This window comes from Homo sapiens, chromosome 17 (assembly GCF_000001405.40).
Source record: "Homo sapiens chromosome 17, GRCh38.p14 Primary Assembly".
NCBI classification, from domain to species: domain Eukaryota; kingdom Metazoa; phylum Chordata; class Mammalia; order Primates; family Hominidae; genus Homo; species Homo sapiens.
This window is the reverse complement of record NC_000017.11, coordinates 76783393-76808640: the sequence shown is the minus strand read 5'-3', so window position 1 is coordinate 76808640 and position 25248 is coordinate 76783393. Positions and strand designations below refer to the sequence as shown.

At 46.9% G+C, this 25248-nt stretch overlaps 1 protein-coding gene and 1 long non-coding RNA gene across 12 annotated transcripts in view, besides 1 other annotated feature; both read right to left on the bottom strand.

The window, feature by feature from the left end:
• Positions 1-1538: 1538 nt before the first annotated feature.
• On the bottom strand, positions 1539-9597 carry LINC02080 (long intergenic non-protein coding RNA 2080). Its single transcript, NR_110837.1, has 3 exons — positions 9097-9597; positions 2688-4456; positions 1539-2353 (listed from the first exon to the last, which is right to left on the bottom strand). It is a non-coding gene; the product is annotated as a long intergenic non-protein coding RNA 2080 (long non-coding RNA).
• Positions 3642-4165: an enhancer, noted in NCBI's record as "OCT4-NANOG hESC enhancer chr17:74800558-74801081 (GRCh37/hg19 assembly coordinates)". NCBI's record gives its function as "activates a minimal SCP1, AML or CMV promoter by ChIP-STARR-seq in primed H9 embryonic stem cells {active_cell/tissue: H9 hESC(primed)}" and the evidence as "EXISTENCE:reporter gene assay evidence [ECO:0000049][PMID:30033119]".
• Positions 4836-25248, bottom strand: part of MFSD11 (major facilitator superfamily domain containing 11) — a 67172-nt gene continuing 46759 nt past the window's right edge. For 9 of the 11 annotated variants that reach the window (XM_047436733.1, XM_011525239.4, XM_017025065.3 and 6 more), the window contains one exon: positions 23066-23279. In XM_047436733.1, coding sequence (XP_047292689.1) covers positions 23073-23279 — 207 coding nt within the window. In that variant the 3' untranslated portion in view covers positions 23066-23072. Of the gene's footprint in view, positions 5098-16061; positions 16117-23065; positions 23280-25248 lie in introns of those variants that run through there. The other 2 variants (XM_047436736.1, XM_047436737.1) reach the window with 1 other exon arrangement.

The following is a 25248-nucleotide window of genomic DNA, read 5'->3' as shown; positions in this document are numbered from 1 at the left end:
GGAGTTAGCAGAAAGGAATGTCCACTTTAAGCAGTCAACCACAATATGACCTGCACAATATGATGAGATTACAATGTGCTGGATGGCCTTCAGGCATCCCCTTGCCTGCCATGGCTTTATATCTTGTTTATAATTTGGTGTCTTATTGCCACAAAGAGGCTGTTTTGTCAGCCTCCCGATCTCTATTTTATTGTTAATGTTGGTAAGTTGTGGCTCCAAAAGAGAGGAGATATAACAAAGTGTGTCCAACCTCCCTTCCCGTCATAGCCAGGAACTCCATTTTATTTATTTGAGACACTCTCGGTCTGTCGCCCAGGCTGGAATGCAGTGGTGGCATCTCGGCTCACTACAGCCTCCACCTCCCAGGTTCAAGCGATTCTCCTGCCTCAGCCTTCTGAGTGGCTGGGATTATAGGTACCTGCCACCATGCCCAGCTAATTGTTGTATTTTTAGTAAAGATGGGGTTTCACCATGTTGACCAGGCTGGTCTCAAACTGATGACCTCAAGTGATCTGCCCGCCTCGACCTCCCAAAGTGCTGGGATTACAGTTGTGAGCCATCACGCGTGGCCAGGAACTCAATTTTAAATGTTTATCTAGGGTCCTCTTGGTCAACTGGGGGTGTTCTCGTTTGGTGAGGGGCTTAGGGTTTTTAGTTTACAGTGTCGTATGCTTAATTCAACTTCTGAAATTCTAGTTCGTCCGACTGTATTTAGTAAACACCTGGGAAAAGGCTCTGTGGAGAGGCAACTGAACACAAGTGCAGGGCAAGGAAGCCCATTCTGGAGCTGACTGTGCCACGCACCTGTTCTCTCAGGCAGGTTCCCCACCTCTCTGAGCTCCGTTCCTGAGCCATCACATGAGGATACGAATCCATCTCCTAACTGGGAGGCTCAAAGTAAGGATATACTTGAAAGGACTCTGAAAAGTCAGATTCTACAAATGCCATCTTATTCTACAGAGCAAGGCTGTGGGAGGAGACTTACCTTTCACTCAAAAGCACAGGCAACAGAAATTGCCTGGGAGACACAAAATTCCAGGGAGAGGATAAAGCCCAAACGTGAACTTCACCAAGCTGACCCAAGTCCTCACTGCAGTTCGGCTGACCCACCCTTGATTGGGCCACGTAATTTAACCACCTCCGTATCATATTGTGTCCGGAATTAGTGGGTTCTTCATCTCACTGACTACGAGAATGAAGCCACAGACCCCCGCGATGAGCGTTACAGTTCTTAAAGGCAGCGTGTCCAGAGTTTGTTCCTTCTGATATTCAGACGTGTTCAGAGTTTTTTCATTCTGGTGGGTTCGTGGTCTCACTAGCTCAGTAGTGAAGCTGCAGGCCTTTGCGGTGAGAGTTACAGCTCTTAAGGCAGCACTTCTAGAGTTGTTCGTTCCCCCCTGTGGGTTCCAGCTCTCCCTGACTTCAGGAGTGAAGCTGCAAACCTTTGTGGTACTATAACTCATAAAAGCAGTATGGACCCAAAGAGCAGACAGCAGCAATACCACAAACAGCAAAAGAACACAGCTTCCAAAAGACTTGAGGTGGTTGCCACTGCAGCATCGGGCAGCCTGCTTTTATTCTCTTATTTGGCCCCACCCACATCCTACTGATTGGTCCATTTTACAGAGAGCCGATTGGTCTGTTTTACAGACAGCTGATTGGTCCATTTTGACAGAGTGCTGATTGGTGCGTTTACAATCCCTGAGCTAGACACAAAAGTTCTCCAGGTCCCCACTAGATTAGCTAGATACAGAGTGTCGATTGGTGTATTTACAAACCCTGAGCTAGACACAGAGTGCTGATTGGTGCATTTACAAACCTTGAGCTAGATACAGAGTGCCAATTGGTGCATTCACAAACCCTTAGCTAGACATAAAGATTCTCCAAGTCCCCACCAGATTAACTAGATACAGAGCGCCAACTGGTGCATTCACCAACCCTAAACTAGACACAAGGTGCTGATTGGTGAGTTTACAAACCTTGAGCTAGATACAGAGTGCTGATTGGTGTGTTTACAATCCATTAGCTAGACATAAAGATTCTCCAAGTCCCCACCAGACTCAGGAGCCCAGCTGGCTTCACCCAGTGGATCCCACACTGGGCCGCAAGTGGAGCTGCCTGCCAGTCCCGCGCCATGCGCCTGCACTCCTCAGCCCTTGGGTGGTCGATGGGACTGGGTGCCCTGGAGCAGGTGGCGGCGCTCATTGGGGAGGCTCGGGCAGGGCAGGAGCCCACGGCGGGGGCGGGGAGGCTCAGACATAGCAGGCTGCAGGTCCGGAGCCCTGCCCCGCAGGGAGGCAGCTAAGGCCGGGCGAGAAATTGAGCACAGCAGCTGCTGGCCCAGGTGCTAAGCCTCTCACTGCCCGTGCCGGCGGGGCGGCGGGGCCGGGGGGCTGGCGGGCAGCTCCGAGTGCGGGGCCGCCCGTGCCCACACCCACCCGGAACTTGCCCTGGCCCGCAAGCACCACGCGCAGCCCCGGTTCCGCCTGCGCATCCCCCTCCATACCTCCCCCGCCACACCTCCCGCAAGCTGAGGGAGCTGGCTTCAGCCTTGGCCAGCCCAGAAAGGGGCTCCCACAGTGCAGCGGTGGGCTGAAGGGCTCCTCAAGCGTGGCCAGAGTGGGCAGCGAGGCCAAGGAGGCTCCAAGAGCGAGCGAGGGCTGAGAGGGCTCCCAGCACGCTGTCACCTCTCAATATCTGCACATAATAACAGGAATAAGGGCCGGGCGTGGTGGCTCACACCTGTAATCTCAGCACTTTGGGAGGCCAAGGCAGGCGGATCACCTGATGTCGGGAGTTCGAGACCAGCCTGACCAACATGGAGAAACCCCGTCTCTACTAAAAATATAAAATTAGCCAGGCATGCTGGAGCATGCCTGTAATCCCAGCTACTCGGGAGGCTGAGGTGGGAGAATGGTTTGAAACCAGGAGGCAGAGGTTGCGGTGAGCTGAGATCACGCAGTTGCACTCCAGTCTGGGCAACAAGAGCAAACTCCGTCTCAAAAAACAAACAGGAATAAGATTTGTTTCTTGCATTTGGGGTAAGGTATTTTAGCAAGGATAAAGCACTCTGCCAAAGTGGGTAGTATTTCCTCATATCTGGCAAGGCGTGGTGGCTCATGCCTGTAATCCCAGCACTTTGAGAGGCCGAGGCTGGTGAGTCGCATGAGGTCAGAAGTTCGAGATCAGCCTAGCTAACATGGTGAAACCCCATCTCTACTAAAAAATACAAAATTTAGCCGGGCATGGTGGCATATGCCTGTAGTCCCACTGCACTCCACCCTGGGCCAGAGTGAAACCCCGTCTCAAAAAATGGTGAAAAAAAAAAAAAAGGCCAGGCACAGTGGCTCATGCCTGTAATCCCAGCACTTTGCGAGGCCAAGGCAGGCAGATCACCAGAGGCCAGGAGTTTGAGACCAGCCTGTCCAAAATGGTGAAACCCTGTTTCTACTAAAAATACAAAAAATTAGCCGGGAGTGGTGGCAGGTGCCTGTAATCTCAGCTACTCAGGAGGCTGAGGCAGGAGAATCGCTTAAACCCAGGAAGTGGAAGCTGCAGTGAGCTGAGATCGCACCATTGCACTCCAGCCTGGGCAACAAGAACGAAACTCTATCTCAAAAAAAAAAAAAAAAAAAGAGAAAAAAGTATTTCCTCGCATCTCACCTAGTCAAAACCCAGGGCCCACATACCCTACCTATCCCATGCATGTGAGACGCTCACACTATCAACATAAAAAGTCCCTTAGTATCACCTCATTACCAATAGCAGCACAACAACAAGTCAAGTTAGAGGTGAAGCTCAGCTCACCAATCAGGTTATTCTGATTTGGATCAGTTAGAAGGAAAGGTAGGAGAGGCTCAATATCTTGAAAACAATGCTCATTTGCATACATGGATAAATACTTAATGGCCCAGCATGAGTTCCATCAATACAGAGGCAGTGTGTATTCACTCCTGTGTTCCGTGAATAGATCTTCTCTTGGTGCCCTAAATTACATTTCCTATAATCATGTTAACAAAAAGGACAGATGTGTAGAACAATCTATCAGAGGCAGTCATAAAAGTATTTAAAGTCTCTGTTGCCAGAAAAAGGGGTCCCTACCCAGACCCTAAGGGAGGGTTCCTGGATCTTGTGCAGGAAGGAATTCAAGGCAAGTCACAGAGTGCAGTAAGAAGAGATCACTGGCCAGGCGCAGTGGCTCATACCTGTCATTTCCCAGCACTTTGGGAGGCCAAGGCAGGTGGATCACGAGGTCAGGAGTTCAAGACCAGTCTGTCCGAGATGGTGAAACTCTGTCTCTCCTAAAAATACAAAAATTAGCTGGGCGTGGTGGCGGGCACCTGTAATACCAGCTGCTTGGGAGGCTGAGGCAGGAGAATCACTTGAACCCGGGAGGCAGAGGTTGCAGTGAGCCAAGATTGCGCCGCTGCACTCCAACCTGGTTGACAGAGCAAGACTGCATCTCAAAAAAAAAAAAAGAGAGAAAGATCATCTATTGAAAGCTACTCATTTTGCAAGTAAGGCTTACGATATAAAAAATAAAACTAATTTTTTTAAATAAATAAGTAAAGCTACTCAGTTAGGCGGGGCATGGTAGCTCACATCTGTAATCCCAGGACTTTGGGAGGCTGAGATGGGGGGATCCCTTAAGCCCAGAGTTCAAGACCAGCCTGGGCTACACAGCAAAACCCCATCTCTACAAAAAATACAAAAAATTAGCTGAGCATGGTTGTAACTGACCAACGGGCTCACCTTGCCCACGGCCTAGACAGAGCCAATTTATCAAGACAGGGGAATTTGCAATACAGACAGTGTAATTCAGGCAGAGCCGGCTGTGTGGGAAACCAAAGTTTTATTATTACTCAAATCAGTCTCCCTGAGCATTCTGGGATCACAGTTTTTAATTCAGGATAATTTGGTGGGGGTGGGAGGGAAGGCCATTGAGTCAAGAGTGCTGACTGTTGGGTCAGAGATGAAATCATGCAGAACTGAAGCTGTCCTTTTGTGCTGGAGTCAATTCCCAGGTCAGGGGCCATAAGATCAGATGGGCCATTTTATCGATCTGGGTGGTGCCAGATGATCCATCGAGTGCAGGGTCTGCAAAACATCTCAAACACTGATCTTAGGAGCAGTTTAAGGAGGGTCAGAATCTTGTATCCTCCAGCTGCATGACTCCTAAACCATAAATTCTAATCTTGTGGCTAATTTGTTAGTCCGACAAAGGCAGTCTAGTCTCCAGGCAAGAAGGAACTTTGTTTTGGTAAAGGGCTGTTATCGTCATTGTTTTAAACTATAAACCAAGTTCCTTCCAAAGTTAGTTCGGTCTGTGCCCAGGAATGAATAAGAACAGCTTGGAGATGCAAAGCAAGATGGAGTTGGTTAGGTCAGATCTCTTTCACTGTCTCAGTTATAATTTTGCCATGGCACTTTCAATCTCTTGCTTTGGGTTTTTTTTTGTTTGTTTTGTTTTTGTTTTTGTTTTTTTGAGACGGAGTCTCACTCTGTCACCCAGGCTGGAGTGCAGTGGCACGATCTCACCTCCTTGCAACCTCTGCCTCCCGGGTTCACACCATCCCCTTCCTCAGCCTCTCGAGTAGCTGGGACTACAGGTGCCTGCCACCACGCCCGGCTAATTTTTTGTATTTTTAGTAGAGATGGGGTTTCACCGTGTTAGCCAGGATGGACTCGATCTCCTGGCCTCGCTTTGGGTTTTATAACACCTTAATCTTAAGGTGTTGGCTAATGAATATGGAAAAAGGGTGAAGACTGCTCTAACTTCTTCCTGCTGATCATGGGTGTAATGGGGGTAGGTGCTGACCCCAAGGTGAGAGGAGTGGAACTCCTTTGCAATTGTCTGAGTGTACTCATGCGGTAGCTGGGATTACAGGTGCATGCCACCATGCCCAGCTAATTTTTGTATTTTTAGTAGACAGAGGGTTTCACCATGTTGGCTAGGCTGGTCTTGAACTCCTGACCTTAAGTGATTTGCCTGCCTCGGCCTCCCGAAGTGCTGGGATTACAAGTGTGAGCCATGTGCCCAGCCCTCCACTGTACGGATAAACCACATTTTATACATTTACACGTGGATGGCATGTCAACTGTTTCTAGTTTTTGACTATTATAAATAACGCTGCTCGGAACACTCAAGTGCATGACTTTGTGAAAGTAAATTTCTAAGAGTTAGAGTTGCTGAGTTGTATGGTCGGTTTATGTGTAATATTTTGAGAAACTGCCAAATTGTTTTCCAAAATAGATGTACCATTTTACATTCTTGTTAGCCATATGTGAGGGTTCCAGTTTCTCCAAATCTTCATCAATACTTGTTATTATCATTTTTATGACAGTAATTGTTTTTGTTGTTGTTGTTTTTGAGACAGAGTTCTGCTCTGTCACTCAGGCTGGAGTGCAGTGGCACAATCGGGACTCACTGCAACTTCTGCCTCCTGGCTTCAAGCGATTCTCCTGCTTTAGCCTTCCGAGAAGCTGGGATTACAGGTGCCCACTACCACACCTGGCTAATTTTTTTTGTATTTTAGTAGAGATGGGCTTTCACCAAGTTGGCGAGGCTGGTCTTGAACTCCTGACCTAAAGTGATCCGCTCACCTTGGCCTCCCAAAGTGCTAAGTGTGAGCCACCGTGCCCAGCCCAGTAATTGCCTCAGAGGCATCTGAAACCAGAGCGACTCTATCTTGAATAGGGGGTGGGTAAAATGAGGCCAAGACCTAATGGGCTGCATTCCCAGGAGGTCAGGCATTCTTAGACACAGGATGAGACAGGAGGTCAGCAGGACTGGTATCACAAGATACAAGTCTTAAAGACCCTGCTGATAAAACAGAATGCAGTAAAGAAGCCAGCCAAACCCACCAAAAGCAAGATGGTAACTAAAGTGACCTCTGGGCCAGGCACGGTGGTTCAGACCTGTAATCCCAGCACTTTGGGAGGCCAAGGCAGGTGGATCCCTGAGGTCAGGAGTTTGAGACCAGCCTGGTCAACATGGTGAAATCCTGTCTCTACGAAAAATGCAAAATTAGCCAGGCGTGGTGGTGCATGACTGTAATCCCAGCTACTCGGGAGCCTGAGGTAGGAGAATTGCTTGAACCTGGGAGGCGGAAGTTGCAGTGAGCTGAGATCATGCCATTGCACTCCAGCCTGGGTGACAGAGTGAGACTTGGTCTCAAAAAAAAAAAAAAAAAAATGCTGCTCTGCCTATGCAGTAGCTATTATTTCTTTTTCTTCCTTTTTCTTTTCTTTTCCTTTTTTTTTTTTTTTTTTTTTTGAGACAGAGCCTTGCTCTGTGCCCCTGGCTAGGAGTGCAGGCCATGATCTCAGATCGCTGCAACCTCTGCCTCCTGGGCTCAAAGCTGGAACTACAGGTGCATGCTACCAAGCTTGGCTAATTTTTTAAGTTTTTTGTAGAGACGGAGTTTTGCCATGTTGGCCAGGCTGGTCACGAACTCCGGGCCTCAAGTGATCCACTCTCCTCAGCCGCCCGAAGTGCTGGGATTACAGACGTGAGGCACCACACCCGGCTGGAGTAGCCATTCTTTTATTCCTTTTTTTTTTTTCAGACCGAGTCTCCCTCTGTTGCCCAGGCTGAAGTGCAGTGTGCCATCTCGGCTCACTGCAACCTCTGCCTCTCAGGTTCAAGCGATTCTCCTGCCTCCACCTCCCAAGTAGCTGGGATCACAGGCACGTGCTGCTGCGCCCAGCTGATTTTTATATTTTTGGTACAAATGGGGTTTCATCATGTTGCCCAGGCTGGTCTTGAACTCCTGACCTCAGGTGATCTGCCTGCCTTGGCCTCCCAAAGTGCTAGGAATACAGGTGTGAGCCACTGCACCCAGTCTGAGTATGGTATTAATAGAAGGATAAATACAGGAAATTCTAAGTATACCCTCTACACTGAAACATAGAAACACATCTTAAGGTTATTTTACTGCAGTCAATCAGTTCTGTAGCAGCAAGAAAAGTGTATAGACAGCTATGCACTGCCCTCACTGTTCTGTAGCCAGACAACAAATAATAATGTACCATTAAAGGGCTTTTTCAAACAGGTTATTATGTGTGTCATTTTCTTTCTTGAAAAAAAGATTAATAGCAGCAACAATCCATTGCGAGTTGGCTATTACCCACAGACAAATGGCCACACCAATACAAAGAGACTACAGCACAAAGGAGAAGGCTGTTTAATTGGAAAGGATTTCATAGGTGACCATTACAGAGGCAATGCTTCCCTCTGTGCCAAATTAAGTGATTCCTTACTGGACACTTAAGCCAGCTTTTGGACTTTTTACCTCCCTTAAGGATACCACTTCAGTACTAGCTCCAAGAAAACCCTTTTAGCCAGATACTTAGTAAAAAGAGAAAATAGCAAAACCGAAGGCTAAGCCAGGCACAGTGGCTCACACTTGTAATCCCATCACTTTGGGAGGCCGAGGCAGGTGGATCACTTGACACCAGGAGTTCGAGACCAGCCTGGCCAACATGGTGAAACCCGTCTCTACTAAAAATACAAAAATTAGCTGGGAGTGGTGGCGGGTGCCCGTAATCCCAGCCACTTTGGAGGCTGAGGCAGGAAAATCACTTGAACCCAGGAGGCAGAGGTTGTAGTGAGCCAAGATCACACCACAGTTCTTCAGCCTGGGCAACGGAGGGAGACTCGGTCTCAAAAAAAAAAAAAAAAAAGGAAAAAGAAAAAGAAAAAAAGAGAAGAAAAGGCTATAGGAGTGGCTGGAATAGCAAGAAGAAATGCAGGAGAAATCATGGGGAAAGGGGGTATGAGATGATGCATCTGATCAGATAATAAAACATGCTGGAGTTTTTTTCCCCTAATAGAATATTTAGGTGACTTGTAAGCTTTAAGCTTTGGGCAAGGTTGGGGGTGGGAACAAGGTGGGAGAAGAGAAATGCTTTGCAATAATGTTTGGGACACAGAGGTGTGGTTCTGCGATATAATTAGGAACCATGAGCCCAGCGCAGTGGCTCACGCCTGTAATCGCAGCACTTTGGGAGGCCGAGGTGGGTGGATCACTTGAGGTCAGGAAACCCAGTCTCTACTAAAAATACAAAAAATTAGCCGGGCGTGGTGACACATACCTGTAATCCCAGCTACTCAGGAGGCCAAGGCAGGAGAACTGCTTGAATCCAGGGGGGCAGAGGTTGCATTGAGCTGACATGGCTCCAGCCTGCGTGACAGAGCAAGACTGTGTCTCAAAAATAATAATAAGGCAGGACGTGGTGGCTCACACCTGTAATCCCAGCACTTTGGGAGGCTGAGGTGTGTGGATCACTTGAGGTCAGGAGTTCGAGACCAGCCTGGCCAACATGGTGAAAGCCCATCTCTACTAAAACTACAAAAATTAGCCAGGCATTGTGGTGGGCACCTATAATCCCAGCTACTTGGGAGGCTGAGGCACGAGAGTTGCTTGAACTGGGAGGCAGGGGTTACAGTGAGCCAAGATCGTGACAATGCACTCCAGCCTGGGTGACAGAGTGAGATTTTGTCTCAAGAGTTCCCTAAGTTTTAAATGTTCTCCAAGATTCCTTCTGTGTCTACATCTTATGATTCTGAATCTATTGCATTTCCATATTTTCTTTTTTTTTTTTTTTTTTTGAGATGGAGTTTCACTCTTGTTGCCTAGGCTGGAGTACACTGGTGCGATCTTGGCTCACTGCAACCTCCGCCTCCTGGGTTCAAGCAATTCTCCCGCCTCAGCCTCCCGAGTAGCTGGGATTACAGGCATGTGCCACCATGCCTGGCTAATTTTGTATTTTTCGTAGAGACGGGGCTTTGCCACGTTGGTCAGGCTGGTCTCGAACTCCTGACCTCAGGTGATCCTCCTGCCTCAGCCTCCCAAAGTGTTGGGATTACAGGCATGAGCCACCATGCCCTGCCTCATTTCCTTATTTTCTAAATCATAATAGAGCAACAGCTCACTGGTTGCTAACCACTTCCCGAGAGTCACCTTGAGGCTCAGACCTTTACTAGATGTGATATAATAAGAAATATATTTGGTCTTTGTCCTCAGTGGCACAGAACTCCTACAAGCCTTGGAATTTCCTGAAAGACAGGAGTGTCTTTGGTTGTTATGAGCCTCTCTGATAACACATGTACTGAGGTGACAAAGGGTGGGGTCCCCATATAGTCTCACAAATGACTGGTCACCAGAAAGACCAAGTGATTAGAAGGTTGGGCGTTTCATCCCACCCACTGATCTCCTGAAAGGGCAGGGAGGAGGCTGCCATTAAGCTGCATAAAATCTCTCAAATCTGGAGACGTGATGAGCTTCGAGGTTGGTGAATACATGGGGTGCTGGGAGGGTGGCATCCCTGGACGGGGCATAGAGGCTTTGCATCCCCACCCCAAGCTCACCTTACACATCTCTTCCATTTGGCTCTTCTTGAGTTGTATCCTCTACAATAAACTGGCAATTTTAAGTAAATTGTTTTCCTGGGCCAGGCATGGTGGCTCCGACGTGTAATCCCAGCACTTTGGGAGGCTGAGGTGGGAGGATTGCTTGAGCGTGGGAGTTCAAGACCAGCTTGAGCAACATAGTGAGACCCCATCTCTACATAAATTTATTTAAAACATTAACCGGGCGTGGTGGTGCGCACCTGTGGTTCCAGCTACTCGGGAGGCTGAGGTGGGAGGATCACGTGAGCCCAGGAGTTTGAGGCTGCAGTGAACTATGATAGCACCACTGCACTCCAGCCTGGGCAACAAAGTGAGACCCTGTTTCAAAAAAAAAAATGTTTTCCTGAGTTCTGCAAGCCATTCTAGCAAATTATCAAATATGAGCTGGGGATTATAGGAACTCCCCTCCCTTTACAGCTGGTCAGTAAGAAGTATGGACGGCCTGGATTTAGGACTGGCATCTGAAGTAAGTGGGGGTAGTGTCAGAGGCATTTGAACTGGGGCAACTCCAACTTAAATAGGGGCTGGGTAAAATGGGGCTGAGACCTGCTGCCCCGCATTCCCAGGATGTCAGGCATTCTTAGTCACAGGATGAGACAGGAGGTCCTCAGGACTGGTATCACAAGATACAGGTCATAAAGACCCTGATAATAAATACAACAGGATGCTGTAAAAGAAAAAGAGCCAGCCCAAACCCACCAAAACCAACACAGCGACTAAAGGGAACTTTAGTCATCCTCAACCTCATTATATGCTAAGTATAACATATTAGCATACTAATAGACACTCCCACTAGAGCCGTGACAGTTTACAAATGCCGTGGCAATGCCCAGAAGTTACCCTATATCCCTATATTGCTTAAAAAGGGAGGAACCCTCAGTTCTGGGGCTTGCTCGCTCCTTTTCCAGAAAACTCTTAAAAAATCCATCCCTTGCTTAGCAACTGATCAAAAAACAACCTTAAAATAAACCAACAGTCCTCAGGGCTACTCTGTCTATGGAGTAGCCATTCTTTTGTTTCTTTACTTTCTTTTCTTTTTTCTTTTTTCTTTTTTAATTGAGGAAGAGTCTCGCTCTGTCGCCCATGCTGGAGTACAGTGGTGCGATCTCAGCTCACTGCAACTTCCACCTCCTGGGTTCCAGCAATTCTCCTGCCTCAGCCTCCCAAGTAGTTGGGACTACAGGCGCCTGCCACCACAGCTGGCTAATTTTTTGTATTTTTAGTAGAGATGAGTTTCCACCATGTTGGTCAGGCTGGTCTCGAACTCCTGACCTCGTGATCTGCCTGCCTCGGCCTCCCAAAGTGCTGCAATTACAGGCATGAGCCACCGTGCCCAACCGAGCCTCAGCTTTCCAAGTAGCTGGGGCTACAGGCTCGTGCCACCATATCCAGCTAATTTTTTTTTTTTTTTTTTTGGTATTTTTAGTAGAGATGGGGTTTCACCATGTTGGCCAGGCTGGTCTCAAACTCTTGACCTCAGATCCACTTCGGCCTCCAAAGTGCTGGGATTACAGGCATGAGCCACCGTGCCCAGCCTCGGAATTCTTTCTTGTGTGAAATCCAAGAACCCTCTCTTGGAGTCTGCATCAGGATCCCTTTCTGGTAATGGTAGTCTTGTGGGACTGAGACCTTACTTAACCTGTGAGGGTCGGTGCTAACTCCTGGTAGTGTCAGGATTGAACTGAATTGTTGAACACCCAGCTGGTGCTGCAGAGTCGGCTGGTGTGGAAGAGAAACCCCCAGAGATTTGGTGTTGGAAGTCATCAGACTAGTCAATGTCGAGGATATTAGACTGTAGACTGTACGATGTAGACTGTAAATGACAGTCCTTCCCCCCAAGAGTTAATATAGTTGTGAGAACAAGAAAAACACATGGGGGAAAAGGAAGCAATGCAAGATGAGGTGTGATTCAGTCTGTGGGAACTTCACTAAAGTCAGGAAAAGGCTGCTGTGGTCCGAAAAGGCTTCACAGGGAGGTGGGACTTATGCCAGGTCCTGAAGATGAATAGGATTTGGATAGAAGGAAGGAGAAAGAGAGGTCATTCCACAAAGAAATACAATATGAACAAAGGCAGAGATGTTGAAGTAAAATGTATTCATGAAACAAGAATAAAATAAATGTGTCTACAGAAAAGGGTATGTTTTGGAGACTGGCATGGTTTTAGAGTCTTGAAGTTTTGGTTTTGCATGGAGCAGGTATGGTTTTGCAGGATGAGGTTTTAGGAATTGTTCAGTGTCAGGCAAAGAAGTATGGGCCTGATCGGCCAGGCGTGGTGGCTCACACCTGTAATCCCAGCACTCTGGGAGTCTGAGACAGGTGGATCACGAGGTCAGGAGATCGAGACCATCCTGGCCAACATGGTGAAACCCCGTCTCTACTAAAAAAATACAAAAAAAAAAAAAAAATTAGCCGGGCGTGGTGGCGGGCACCTGTAGTCCCAGCTACTCAGGAGGCTGAAGCAGGAGAATGGTGTAAACCCGGGAGGTGGAGCTTGCAGTGAGCTGATCTGGTAGGAAATTAGAAAGCACCACCATTTTCTGAATGGAGAAATTTAATCAAAATTACAACATCCCTCATCTTCCACTGATTGTCAACATCATGAAAGATGTGTAGTCATCCCAGTCATCCCTCAGATACCAAAACCTGCAGATGCTCAAGTCCTTGATATAAAATAGCATAGTATTTGCATATAACCTACACACATCTTCCTGCATACTTTATAATTTTTTTTTTTTGGGAGATGGAGTCTCGTTCTGTCACCCAGGCTGGAGTACAGTGGTGCAATCTCAGCTCACTGCAACCTCCATCTCCCAGGTTCAAGCAATTCTCCTGACTCAGCCTCCCAAGTAGTTGGGATTACAGGCTCACGCCACCACGTCTGGCTAATTTTTTTTTTTTTTTTTTTTGGTAGAAACAGGTTTTCGCCATGTTGGCCAGGCTGGTCTCGAACTCCTGACCTTGGGTGATCCGCCCGCCTCAGCCTCCCAAAGTGCTGGGATTACAGGCATGAGCCCGTAATTACTACAATTCTAGATTACTTACAATACCTAATACAATGTAAATGCTATGTAAATAGTTGTTATACACCATTGTTTAGGGACTCATAAGAAAAAAAGTCTGCACATGTTCAGTACAGATACAATTTTTTTCCCCATATTTTCGATCCATGGTTGTTTGAACCTACAATACAAAATGGTTATGGAGGACTGACTGTGGTTAAGAGTACATTTTCGGCTGGGTGTGGTGGCTCATGCCTGTAATCCCATCACTTTTGAAGGCCGAGGCAGGTGGATCACGAGGTCAGGAGCTCGAGACCAGCCTGGCCAGGATGGTGAAACCCCGTCTCTACTAAAAATACAAAAAAAATTAGCTGGGCATGGTGACGGGCACCTGTAATCCCAGCTACTTGGGAGACTGAGGCAGGAGAATCGCTTGAACCTGGGAGGTGGAAGTTGCAGTGAGCCCAGATCACACCACTGCACTCCAGCCTGAGTGACAGAGTGACACTCCATCTCAAAACAAAAAAAAAAAAAAAAAAAAAAAAAAGAGTACATCTTCTTCAGATTTTTTTTTTTTTTTTTTTTGAGACAGAGTTTTGCTCTGTCGCCAAGGTTGAAGTGCAATGGCATGATCTTGGCTCACTGCAACCTCTGCTTACCAGGTTCAAGTGATTCTCCTGCCTCAGCCTCCTAAATAGCTGGGATTACAGGTGCCTGCCACCACGCCTGGCTAATTTTTTTTTTTTCTTTGAGACGGAGTCTCGCTCTTTCACCCAGGCTGGAGTGCAGTGGCGTGATCTAGGCTCACTGCAACCTCCACCTCCTGGGTTCAAGCAATTCTCCTGCCTCAGTCTTCTGAGTGGCTGGGATTACAGGTGCGCTCCACCACGCCCGGCTAATTTTTTAGTAGAGACGGGGTTTCACCATGTTGGCCAGGCTGGTCTCGAACTCCTGACCTCAGGTAATCCACCCACCTCAGCCTCCCAAAGTGCTGGGATTACAGGTGTGAGCCACCACACCCAGCCCAGATGAGATTTTTAAAAATCCATCTCTCCTTGTATTAGCTTGCTACTGCTGCTATAGCAAATTATCACATTGAGTGGCTTAAAGGCAACACAATTTTATTATCTTACACTTCTGGAGGTCAGAAGTGCAAGACGGGTCTCCTGGGGCTAAAAGTAAGGTGTCAGCAAGGCTGCTGCATTGTTCCTGGAGGCTCTAGGGGAGAAACTGTTCCTTTGCCTCTTCCACCTCCTAGTGGCCACCTAGATTCTATGGCTTGTGGTCCCTTCCACTGTCTTCAATGCCAGCAACAGCAGACTGAATCTTTGTCCCAATGCATCACTTTGACTCTGACCCTGACCCTCCTGCCTCCATCTTCTGTTGTGGGAAGTCAGGGACCCCGAATGGAGGGACCGGCTGAAGCCATGGCAGAAGAACACGGATTGTGAAGATTTCATGGACATTTATTAGATCCCCAAATTAACACTTTTATAATTTCTTATGCCTGTCTTTACTGCAATCTCTGAACATAAATTGTGAAGATTTCATGGACACTTATCACTTCCCCAATCAATACCCTTGTGATTTCCTATGCCTGTCTTTACTTTAATCTCAATCCTGTCATCTCGTAAACTGAGGAGGATGTATGTCGCCTCAGGACCCCGTGATGATTGCGTTAACTGCACAAATTGTAGAGCATGTGTGTTTGAACAATATGAAATCTGGGCACCTTGAAAAAAGAACAGGATAACAGCAATGTTCAGGGAACAAGACAGATAACCTTAAACTCTGACCGCTGGTGAGCCGGGCGGAACAGAGCCATATTTCTCTTTTTTCAAAAGCAAATGGGAGAAATATTGCTGAATTATTTTTCTCAGCAAGGAACAGCCCTGAAAGAGAATGCGGCCCTGAGGGTAGGCCTCTAAAATGGCCCCCTTGGGTGTGGCCATCTTCTATGGTCGAAACTGTAGGGATGAAATAAGCCCCAGTCTCCCATAGTGCTCCCAGGCTTATTAGGACGAGGAAATTCCCGCCTAATAAATTTTTGATCAGACTGGTTGTCTGCTCTCAAACCCTGTCTCCTGATAAGATGTTATCAATGACAATGCGTGCCCGAAACTTCATTAGCAATTTTAATTTCGCCCATCCTGTGATCTCGCCCTGCCTCCATTTGCCTTGTGATATTCTATTACCTTGTGAAGCATGTGATCTCTTTGACCCACACCCTATTCATACACTCCCTCCCCTTTGAAAATCACTAATAAAAACTTGCTGGTTTTGCAGCTTGTGGGACATCAAGGAACCTACCGACATGTGATGTCTCCCCCAGATGCCCAGCTTTAAAATTTCTCTCTTTTGTACTCTGTCCCTTTATTTCTCAACCCGGCGGATGCTTAGGGAAAATAGAAAAGAACCTACATGACTATTGGGGGCAGGTTCCCTGATAATCTTCCACTTTAAGGACCTGACATTATATTGGGCCCATTCAGCTAATTCCAGATAATCTCCCCATCTCAAGGTGAGCTGATTAGCAGCCTTAATTGCACCTGCAACCTCAATTCCCCGTTACCATGGAACTAACATATTCACAGGTTCCAGCAATCAGGACATGGACAAATTTAGGCGGGTCCTTATCTGCACTTACCTGCTCTGCCATCTTGGATATGTTACTTGATCTCTCTGTGCCTTGGTTTTCTCATCTATAAAATGGGGATAATGGTTTCTAGTTGATAATTACTTGTAACATGCTTTAAAGAGAGCCCGGAAAAAAAAAAAAGAAAGAAAAGAAAAATAAAAGAACGCCTACACCGGGTGCAGTGGCTCATGCCTGTAATCCTAACACTTTGGGAGGCTGAGATGGGTGGATCACTTGAAGTCAGGAGCTCGAGACCAGCCTGGACAACATAGTGAAACCCCCTCTCTACTAAAAATACAAAAATTAGCTGGATGTGGTGATGCAGACCTGTAATCCCAGCTACTCAAGAGGCTGAGGCAGGAGAATTGCTTGAACCCTAGAGGCAGAGGTTGCAGTGAGCCAAGATAGTGCCACTGCACTCCTGCCTGGGCAATATAGTGAGACTCTGTCTCAAAAAAAAAAAAGGGTGCCTGGTATGTAGGTAAGCACTCAATATATATTAGTGATGTCTCTAGCAGAGAAAATTCGCTTTGGAAGGTCAGGCCGTGGAGGGCACCATGGCACTGTATGAAATGTGCTGGGCTCATCTAGCATATTAAGGATTCAGTGTTGAATAGACGTGAGTGCCCTGCACTGGGCTATTCTTCTTTCACTGGTTTCAATGGTTTCTGATCCAGAAAGGGATAAAATGAAAGAGTTGATCTCTCGGGGCGGGGGGGAACACAAAGAAAAAAGAAAAAAAAAAAACAAGCAAAAAACCAAAACCAGCTGTATAGCAAACCCAAAGCGCTTCATTCTGCAAAATAATGGGACAGGCCAAAATGGTTCCTAAGTCAAAGGGTTTGCCAGAGCCAAGGCAATGTTCTTTAGTGGAAAGCAAGCTCTGGCTGCCAAACAAATCATTTCCTGCAGAATAGGGTACAGCTTGGGGGGCAGCCACCTGTGGGAGGAGAGCCAGCCCAGACACCCCGTGCGGCTCCCCCACGGCACATGGATTCAGCAGGCTACCTCCCCAGCGCGCCAACCACAAAGAAGTAGAGAAGAAAACATCTGTTTTTTCCTCAACATGTTCTCACAGTGTCTACAATATGAGTCATCAAATTGCTTTCGGTTCAGTGACAATTATCCCAAAAGATCCCTTTCTAAGATATAAAACTGAGAAAACTAAACCAATTTAAAAAAAAAAGTTAAACAGGCTTAGAATGTAAACAAAAAAGACTGAAGAATTGGAAATATCTGACAACATTTTCAGGAAGTAAAAGAAAGAGGACCTGTGAATTGAAACGAAGTCAAAAATAAATGCTCAAAGGAGCCTCCTCTGGACTAGACTTCTCTAAAGCTGCAATCTGCTTGTTCTCTAAATTATCACACAGAAATAGGGCAGAACTACTCTTGATAAGAACATCAAAACTTCCAGATTTAATAGCAGCTCAGAAAACCAGTAAATCATAGCCCAATGCTGCAGGGAGGTGTCCAGGGCACATTCACACTATTTGCACACAAAGTTAAAAAGAAGGTCAAGTTTGACCTTCTACCTTCACACAAATATACATCCTAGTATTAAGATTTAGTATATTGTTGATCAAGGACCAAAAAACACACAAAACACACAAAATGTCAAGTTAGAATATTTCTTTTTTTTTTTTTTGAGATGGAGTCTGGCTCTGTCGCCCAGGCTGGAGTGCAGTGGTGTGATCTTGGCTCACTGCAACCTCCACCTCCTAGGTTCAAGGAATTCTACTGCCTCAGCCTCCCGAGGAGCTGGGACTACAAGGTGTGTGCCACCACGCCCGGCTAATTTTTGTATTTTTAGTAGAGATGGGGTTTCACCATTTTGGCCAGGATGGTTTCGACCTCTTGACCTCGTGATCCCAAAGTGCTAGGATTATAGGCGTGAGCCACCACGCCCGGCCGAGTTAGACTATTTCTAGGGAATATGTTTCCAATATTTATCAAGAAATATGAGTTTTAGGCCGGGCACGGTGGCTCACGCCTGTAATCCCAGCACTTTGGGAAGCTGAAGCAGGTGGATTGCTTGAGCCCAGGAGTTCAAGACCAGCCTGGCCAACACGGCAAAACCTGTGGTGGGTATGGTGGCGCGCACCTGTAATTCCAGCTACTCGGGAGGCTGAGGCACGAGAATTGCTTGAACCCAGGAGGCAGAGGTTGCAGTAAGTTGTGATCACGCCACTGCCCTCCAGCCTGGGCAACAGAGTGAGATGGTGTCTCAAAAAAAAAAAAGAAAGAAAGAAATATGAGGCCGAGGCCGAGCATGGTGGCTCATGCCTGAGGTCAGGAATTTGAGACCAGACTGGCCAACATGGTGAAACCCTGTCTCTACTAAAAATACAAAAATTAGCTGGGCGTGGTGGCTCATGCGTCAAGAGGCTGAGCCAGGAGGATCACTTGAACCCAGGAGGCAGAGGTTGCAGTGAGCCAAGATCACGCCACTGCACTCTAGCCTGGGCAACAGAGTGAGACTCTGTCTCAAAAAAAAAGAAAAAAAAAAAAAAGAAAAGAAATGTGAGTTGTAGAGAAAAGAGTTGTCTAATTATTTTACATGCTGGAAACCCAACCAAAATAACCCAAACAAACAAGCCAAAGTAATTATGTTTTATTTTAATGAGACATTAACTTTTCAAAGTTAATTATCTCTTAACCAATAAACACAATCCATATTCACAACCATGTTGATGAACAAAACCAAACTCTGCAAGATATTTAAAGAGGTTTATTCTGAGCCAATATGAGTGACCATGGCTGGGAGAACAATCCCAAGAGGTCCTGAGAAAGTGTGGTCAGTTACAGCTTGGTTTTACACATTTAGGGAGACAGAAGTTGCAGGCCAAGACATAAATCAGTATGTTAGAGTAGGCAGTTAGGCAGAACTGAGCAGGGCAGGAGAGGGCCCCTATCAGGTCGTCAGGCAACCATCAGGTGATGGTCAGGCAGTTGTTAAACTGTGTCGCTAAAATGATAATTGGTTGCAGCTGGTTCCAGGGACCTGCAGTCTCCCAGTAGATAGAAAATACCTGGAGCTAGTGATCAGCAGCTTCCTGATAAGATCTCAGGAGCTAGGCGAGTCGGTTCAAACATGTGCACTAAGAGGCAAAATGGGAGTTTAACTGGTATATGACCTTCCTCTGGGAATGCTTGACTGGTAAGAGAAAAATGCCTCAAACGAGCATACACACAACTTCAGTAAACGCACTGCACATGCGGCCCCTCCCAAGTGCTGGCAGGTCACTGTGCATGCAGACAGCCTGCCCCAAGGGGAAAATTAAGGGAAGAAAAACACAAACCCCGGAACCATGCCAATGTATAAAACCCCAAGCCCAAGGCTGAACAGGGCACTTGGATCTCTTATGTTGCCCACTTGACCCTCTTCCAAGTGTACTTTGCTTCCTTTCATTCCTGCTCTAAAACTTTTTTATTTTTTATTTTTTTGAGATGAAGTCTCACTCTGTCACCCAGGCTGGAGTGCAATGGTGTGATCTCAGCTCACTGCAACCTCCGCCCCCTGGGTTCAAGCGATTCTCCTGCCTCAGCCTCCCCAGTAGCTGGGATTACAGGTGTGCATTACTATGCCCAGCTAATTTTTATATTTTTAGTAGAGATGGGGTTTCACCATGTTGGCCAGGCTGGTCTCGAACTTCTGACCTCAGGTGATGCGCCCGCCTCAGCCTCCCAAAGTGCTGGGCTTACAGGCATGAGCCACCACGTCCGATCTTATTTATTGATTGATTTATTGATTGAGACGGAGTCTCGTCCTGTCGCCCAGGCTGGAGAGCAGTGGTGCAATCCTTCTCCCAGGTTCAAGTGATTCTCCTGCCTCAGCCTCCCAAGTAACTGGGACTACAGGCGCGTGCCACCAAGCCTGGCTAATTTTTTTCTTGTTTTTAGTAGAGATGGGGTTTTGCCATGTTGGCCAGGCTGGTCTCGAACTCCTGACCTCATGATCCACCTGCCTCGGCCTCCCAAAGTGCTGAGATTACAGGCATGAATCTCAGCCTCTACCGAGGCTGTGAAACCCCGTCTCTACTAAAAATACAAAAATTAGCCGGGCGTGGTGGCAGGCACCTGTAATCCCAGCTACTTGGGAGGTTGAGGCAGGAGAATTGCTTGAACTTGGTAGGCGGTGGTTGCAGTGAGCCAAGATCATGCCATTGCACTCCAGCTTGGATAACACAGCGAGACTCTGTCTCAAAACAACAACAAAACAACAAAATATATACATATATATTTTGGGCTGGGCATGGTGTCTCACACCTGTAATCCTAGCATGTTGGGAGGCTGAGGTGGTTGGATTGCCTGAGCTCAGGAGTTTGAAACCAGCCTGGACAACATGGCAACACCCTGTCTCTACTAAAAATACAAAAAATTAGCCAGGTGTGGCAGCGTGCAACTGTAAATCCAGCTACACAGGAGGCTGAGGCATGAGAATCTCTTGAACCCAGGAGGCGGAGCTTGCAGTGAGCTGAGATCATGCCACTGCATTCCAGCCTGGTGACAGGCCACTTCACTCCACCCAGGGTGACAGAGTGAGACTCTGTCTCAAAAAAAAAACCACAAACAAACAAACAACAAAAAAAGCAAAACCATGTATTTGGGGGTAAAATATTTGTATTTCCCTCAGGTCTCCTATCTGTCATGTGATGCTATGCCAGAGTTAGGTTGGAATTTGGTATCTTATTGCTACAGAGTCTGTTCTGTCAGTTTTATGATTGCTATTTTAATGTTCATGCTGGTCAGTTGTGCCTAAACTCCGAAAAAGGTGGGTATAATAAGGCAGCTGACCTTTTTTCCCCGGTCATGGCTGGGAATTGTTTTGAGGTTTCTCTAGCATCCTCTTGGCCCATTAAGGGGTCTGTTCAGTCAGTTTGGGGTTGGGGGGTTAGGGTTTTATTTTTGGTTTTCAATCATTTCACTGCTGATTATATAACAAAAGCTCATAGTATTATATTTACCCAACCATATGGCTGGAATTTGATCCAGCTTGATCAAGCCTTTCATTTTCTTGGAGGACCAAAAGTAACAGAACTAGACACTTAGGCCATATTGCAAAGAATATTTTCTTTCAATTACATAATGAATCTCTCAGTTTGAGAAAATAAGGAAGGATGTCCGTGTTCTACTGAAATCACTCACATCTGGTCGGGTGCGGTGGCTCATGCCTGTAATCCCAGCACTTTGGGAGGCCAAGGTGGGTGGATCACCTGAGGTCAGGAGTTCAAGACCAGCCTGGCCAACATGGCGAAACCCCGTCTCTACTAAAAATACAAAAAATTAGCTGGGCGTGGTGGCGGGCGCCTGTAATCCCAGCTACTCGGGAGCCTGAGGCAGGAAAATCGCTTGAACCCAGGAGGCGGAGGTTGCGGTGAGTCGAGATCACACCACCGCACTCCAGCCTGGGCGACAAGAGCGAAACTCTGTCTCAAAAAAAAAAAAAAAAAAAGAAATCACTCACATCCTGTTATCCTTTGATATCTGTTTCTGAGAGTCATGCCTAGAAATAGAGGTTCGAGAGACATGAGAACCCTTGAGAACATTTTTGTTGTATTGATACAAAGCCTGCATGAAACCCCATCTCTATTAAAAATGCAAAAATTAGCCGGGCATGGTGGTGGGCCTGTAAATCCCAGCTACTCCGGAGGCTGAGGTGGGAGAATTGCTTGAACCTGGGAGGCAGAGGCTGCAGTGAGCCAATATCGCGCCACTGCACTCCAGCCTGGGTGACAGAGCGAGACTCCGTGTCAAAAAACAAAAAAACAAGAAACATTGTGGCTAATGCTAAATAAACACCTGCTTTCCTTCTGGAGTACGGAATTTTGGTACCAGCTGGGCAGAGGCTGCCTATGTGACCAGACTTCAGTAAAAACCTTTGGTGCTGTGTCTCTAGTGGGCTTTCCTGGACAGAAATATGGCACATGCCTGTGTTTCTGCATCTTTGTTGCTGGGGTAAGAGTGTGTTCTGTGTGACTCCTCGGGCTGGAGAGAGCATAGGAAGCCTGTGTCTGGATTCCTGTATGCTCTGCTGAGTCCTTTTCCTTAAGACCCAGCTGCGCATTCTGACTGCGTCACTGTTGAGTTCAACACGTGCTGAGTCCTGTGAGTCCTAGTGAATCCCCAAGTTAAGAGGTGGTCCTCAGCCAGGTGTGGTGGCTTATGCCTGTAATCCCAGCACTTTGGGAGGCCGAGGCGGGCAGATCACTTGAGGTCAGTTCGAGACCAGCCTGGCCAACATGGCGAAACCCTGTCTCTACTAAAAATACAAAAATTAGCAGGGCATGGTGGTGCATGTCTGTAATCCCAGCTACTTGGGAGGCTGAGGCAGGAGAATCGTTTGAACCCAGGAGGCAGAGGTTGCAGTGAGCCGAGATCACACCACTACACTCCAGCCTGGGTGACAGAGCAACACTCCGTCTCAAAAAAAAAAAAAAAAAATTAGAAGAGCTCCAGGAGTGCTTGTGTCTCAGGTACTCAAGGAACACCTCTGTTTTTTTTTTTTTTTTTTGAGATGGAGTCTTGCTCTGTTGCCTATGCTGGAGTGCGGTGGCTCGATCTCGGCTCACTGCAACCTCTGCCTTCCTGGTTCAAGTGATGCTCGTGCCTCAGCCTCCCAAGTAGGATTACAGGTGCCCACCACCATGCCCAGCTAATTTTTGTATTTTTAAGAAACAAGATTTCAGCACGTTGGCCAGGCTGGTCTCAAACTCCTGACCTCAGGTGATCCACCTGCCTTGGCCTCCCAAAGCGCTGGGATTTTAGGCATGAGCCACCATGCCTAGCCATTAATTGTGATAAAAATACTCATAAAATTTACCATCTTAACCATTTTGAAGTGTGCAGTTCAGTGGTATTAAATACATTATAATGCTGTGCAACCATCACCACTGCCCATCTCCAGAACTCATCTTGCACAACAGAAACTTTGTACTCATTAAATACTAGGCCAGGCACAGTGGCTCATGTCTGTAATCCCAGCACTTTGGGAGGCTGAGGTGGGTGGACCGCTTGAGTCTAGGTGTTCAGGACCAGCCTGGCAGCATGGTGAAACCCTGTCTTTACAAAAAATACAAAAAAATTACCTGAGTGTGGTGGGATGCGCTTGTGGTCCCAAGCTACTCGGAAGGCTGAGGTGGGAGGACCGCTTGAGGCCAGGAGTTGGAGGTTGCAGTGAGCTATGTTTGTGCCACTGCACTCCAGCCTGGGTGACAGAGCAAGACCCTGCCTCAAAAATAAAAAATGAAGACAATAAACACTACCTTCCCACTCTTCCGTCCCCACCAGCCCACCATTCTACATCTGACTCCATGAATTTGTCTACTCTAGGTACTTCATATAATAAATGAAATCAAGCAGTATTTGTCTTTGTGTGACTGGCTTATCTCACTCAGCACGATAATGTCCTCCAGGTCCATCTATGTTGTAGCATGTGCCCAAATTTCCTTCCTTTAAAGGCTGAATCATACTTCATTGTATAGACGTACATTTTGTTCCATTCACTGATGAAGATTTATTTTCCCACTGTTAGGTAATTGTGAATAATGCTGCAGTGAATGTGGGTGAACAAATATCTCTGAGACCTTTTCAACTATTTTGTGTATATGCCCAGAGTGAAATTACTGGATCATATGTAATTCTATTTTTAGTTTGTTGAGAATAAGTTTTTTTGTTTTGTTTTGTTTTTGAGACGGAGTCTCACTCTGTTGCCCAGGCTGGAGTGCAGTAGTATGATCTCTGCTTGATGTAACCTCTGTCTCCTGGGTTCCAGCGATTATCCTGCGTTAGCCTCCTGATTAGCTAGGATTACAGGCACATGCCACCATACCCAACTAATTTTTGTATTTTTAGTAGAGACAGGGTTATACCATGTTGGCCAGCCAGGCTGGTCTCGAACTCCTGACCTCAAGTGATCCACCCACCTCAGCCTCCCAAAGTGCTGGAATTACAGGTGTGAGCCACCATACCCGGCCTGAGGATAACTGTCTTTTAATGCTGAATGCCATTCCATCGTATGGAGAAACCACATTTTGTTTATCCATTCTTTTTTTTTTGAGATGGAGTCTCACTCTGTCGCCAGGCTGGAGTGCAGTGGCACGATCTCAGCTCACTGCAACCTCTGCCTCCCAGGTTCAAGCGATTCTCCTGCCTCAGCCTCCCAAGTAGCTGGGACTACAGGCAGCGCCACCATGCCCAGCTAATTTTTGTACTTTTAGTAGAGATGGGGTTTCACTGTGTTGGCCAGGATGGTCTCGATCTCTTGACCTCATGATCTGCCTGCCTCAGCCTCCCAAAGTGCTGGGATTACAGGCTTGAGCCACTGTGCCTGGCCTGTTTATCCATTCTTCTATGGATGAATAACTTGAGTTGTTTTGACTTTTTGGCTATTGTGAATAATGCAGCTATGAATATGGGTGTACAAATATTGCTTCAAGTCTGCTTTTAACTCTTTTATGTATATACCCACAAGTGAAATTATTGGATCACATGGTATTTCTAGTTTTTGAGGAACTGCCATACTGTTTTCCCAGCAGCTTCACCATTGTACATTTCCACACACAGTGCACAAGGGTTTCAATTTCTCCACATCCTTGCCAACACCTTCCTTTTTTCTTTTTTTTTTTTTCTGGGTAGCAGCCATCCCAATGGGTGTGAAGATCCAAAAAAAATGACTATTAATGGGGACTTATTTGTACTTGGAGAACTTAAAAACTCCCAAGGGGGTCAGGAGTGGGGGCTCATGCCTGTAATCCCAGCATTTTGGGAGGCCAAGGCAGGCAGATCACCTGAGCTCAGGAGTTCGAGACCAGTCTGGCCAACATGGTGAAATCCCGTCTCTACTAAAAATACAAAAAATAAATAGGCTGGGCGTGGTGGCAGGCATCTGTAATCCCAGCTACTCGGGAGGCTGAGGCAGGAGAACCGCTTGTACCTGGGAGGCAGAGGTTGCAGTGAGCCAAGACTGTGCCATTGCACTCCAGCCTGGGCATCAAGAGCAAAACTCCGTCTCAAAAAACAAAAGACCCCCAAGGGACTTACTATAAGTCAACAAACAACAAACCAACCAACCAACAAAAACTCCTAGAGGAAAGAAATCCTGTGTGGGCAGCCGAAGCCCTGGTTTAAAGGCGTTCAAGTTGGGGTATGGGAAAACTCGGGAGGGGAGGGGAGAATGTTTTCATACTCACAGAGA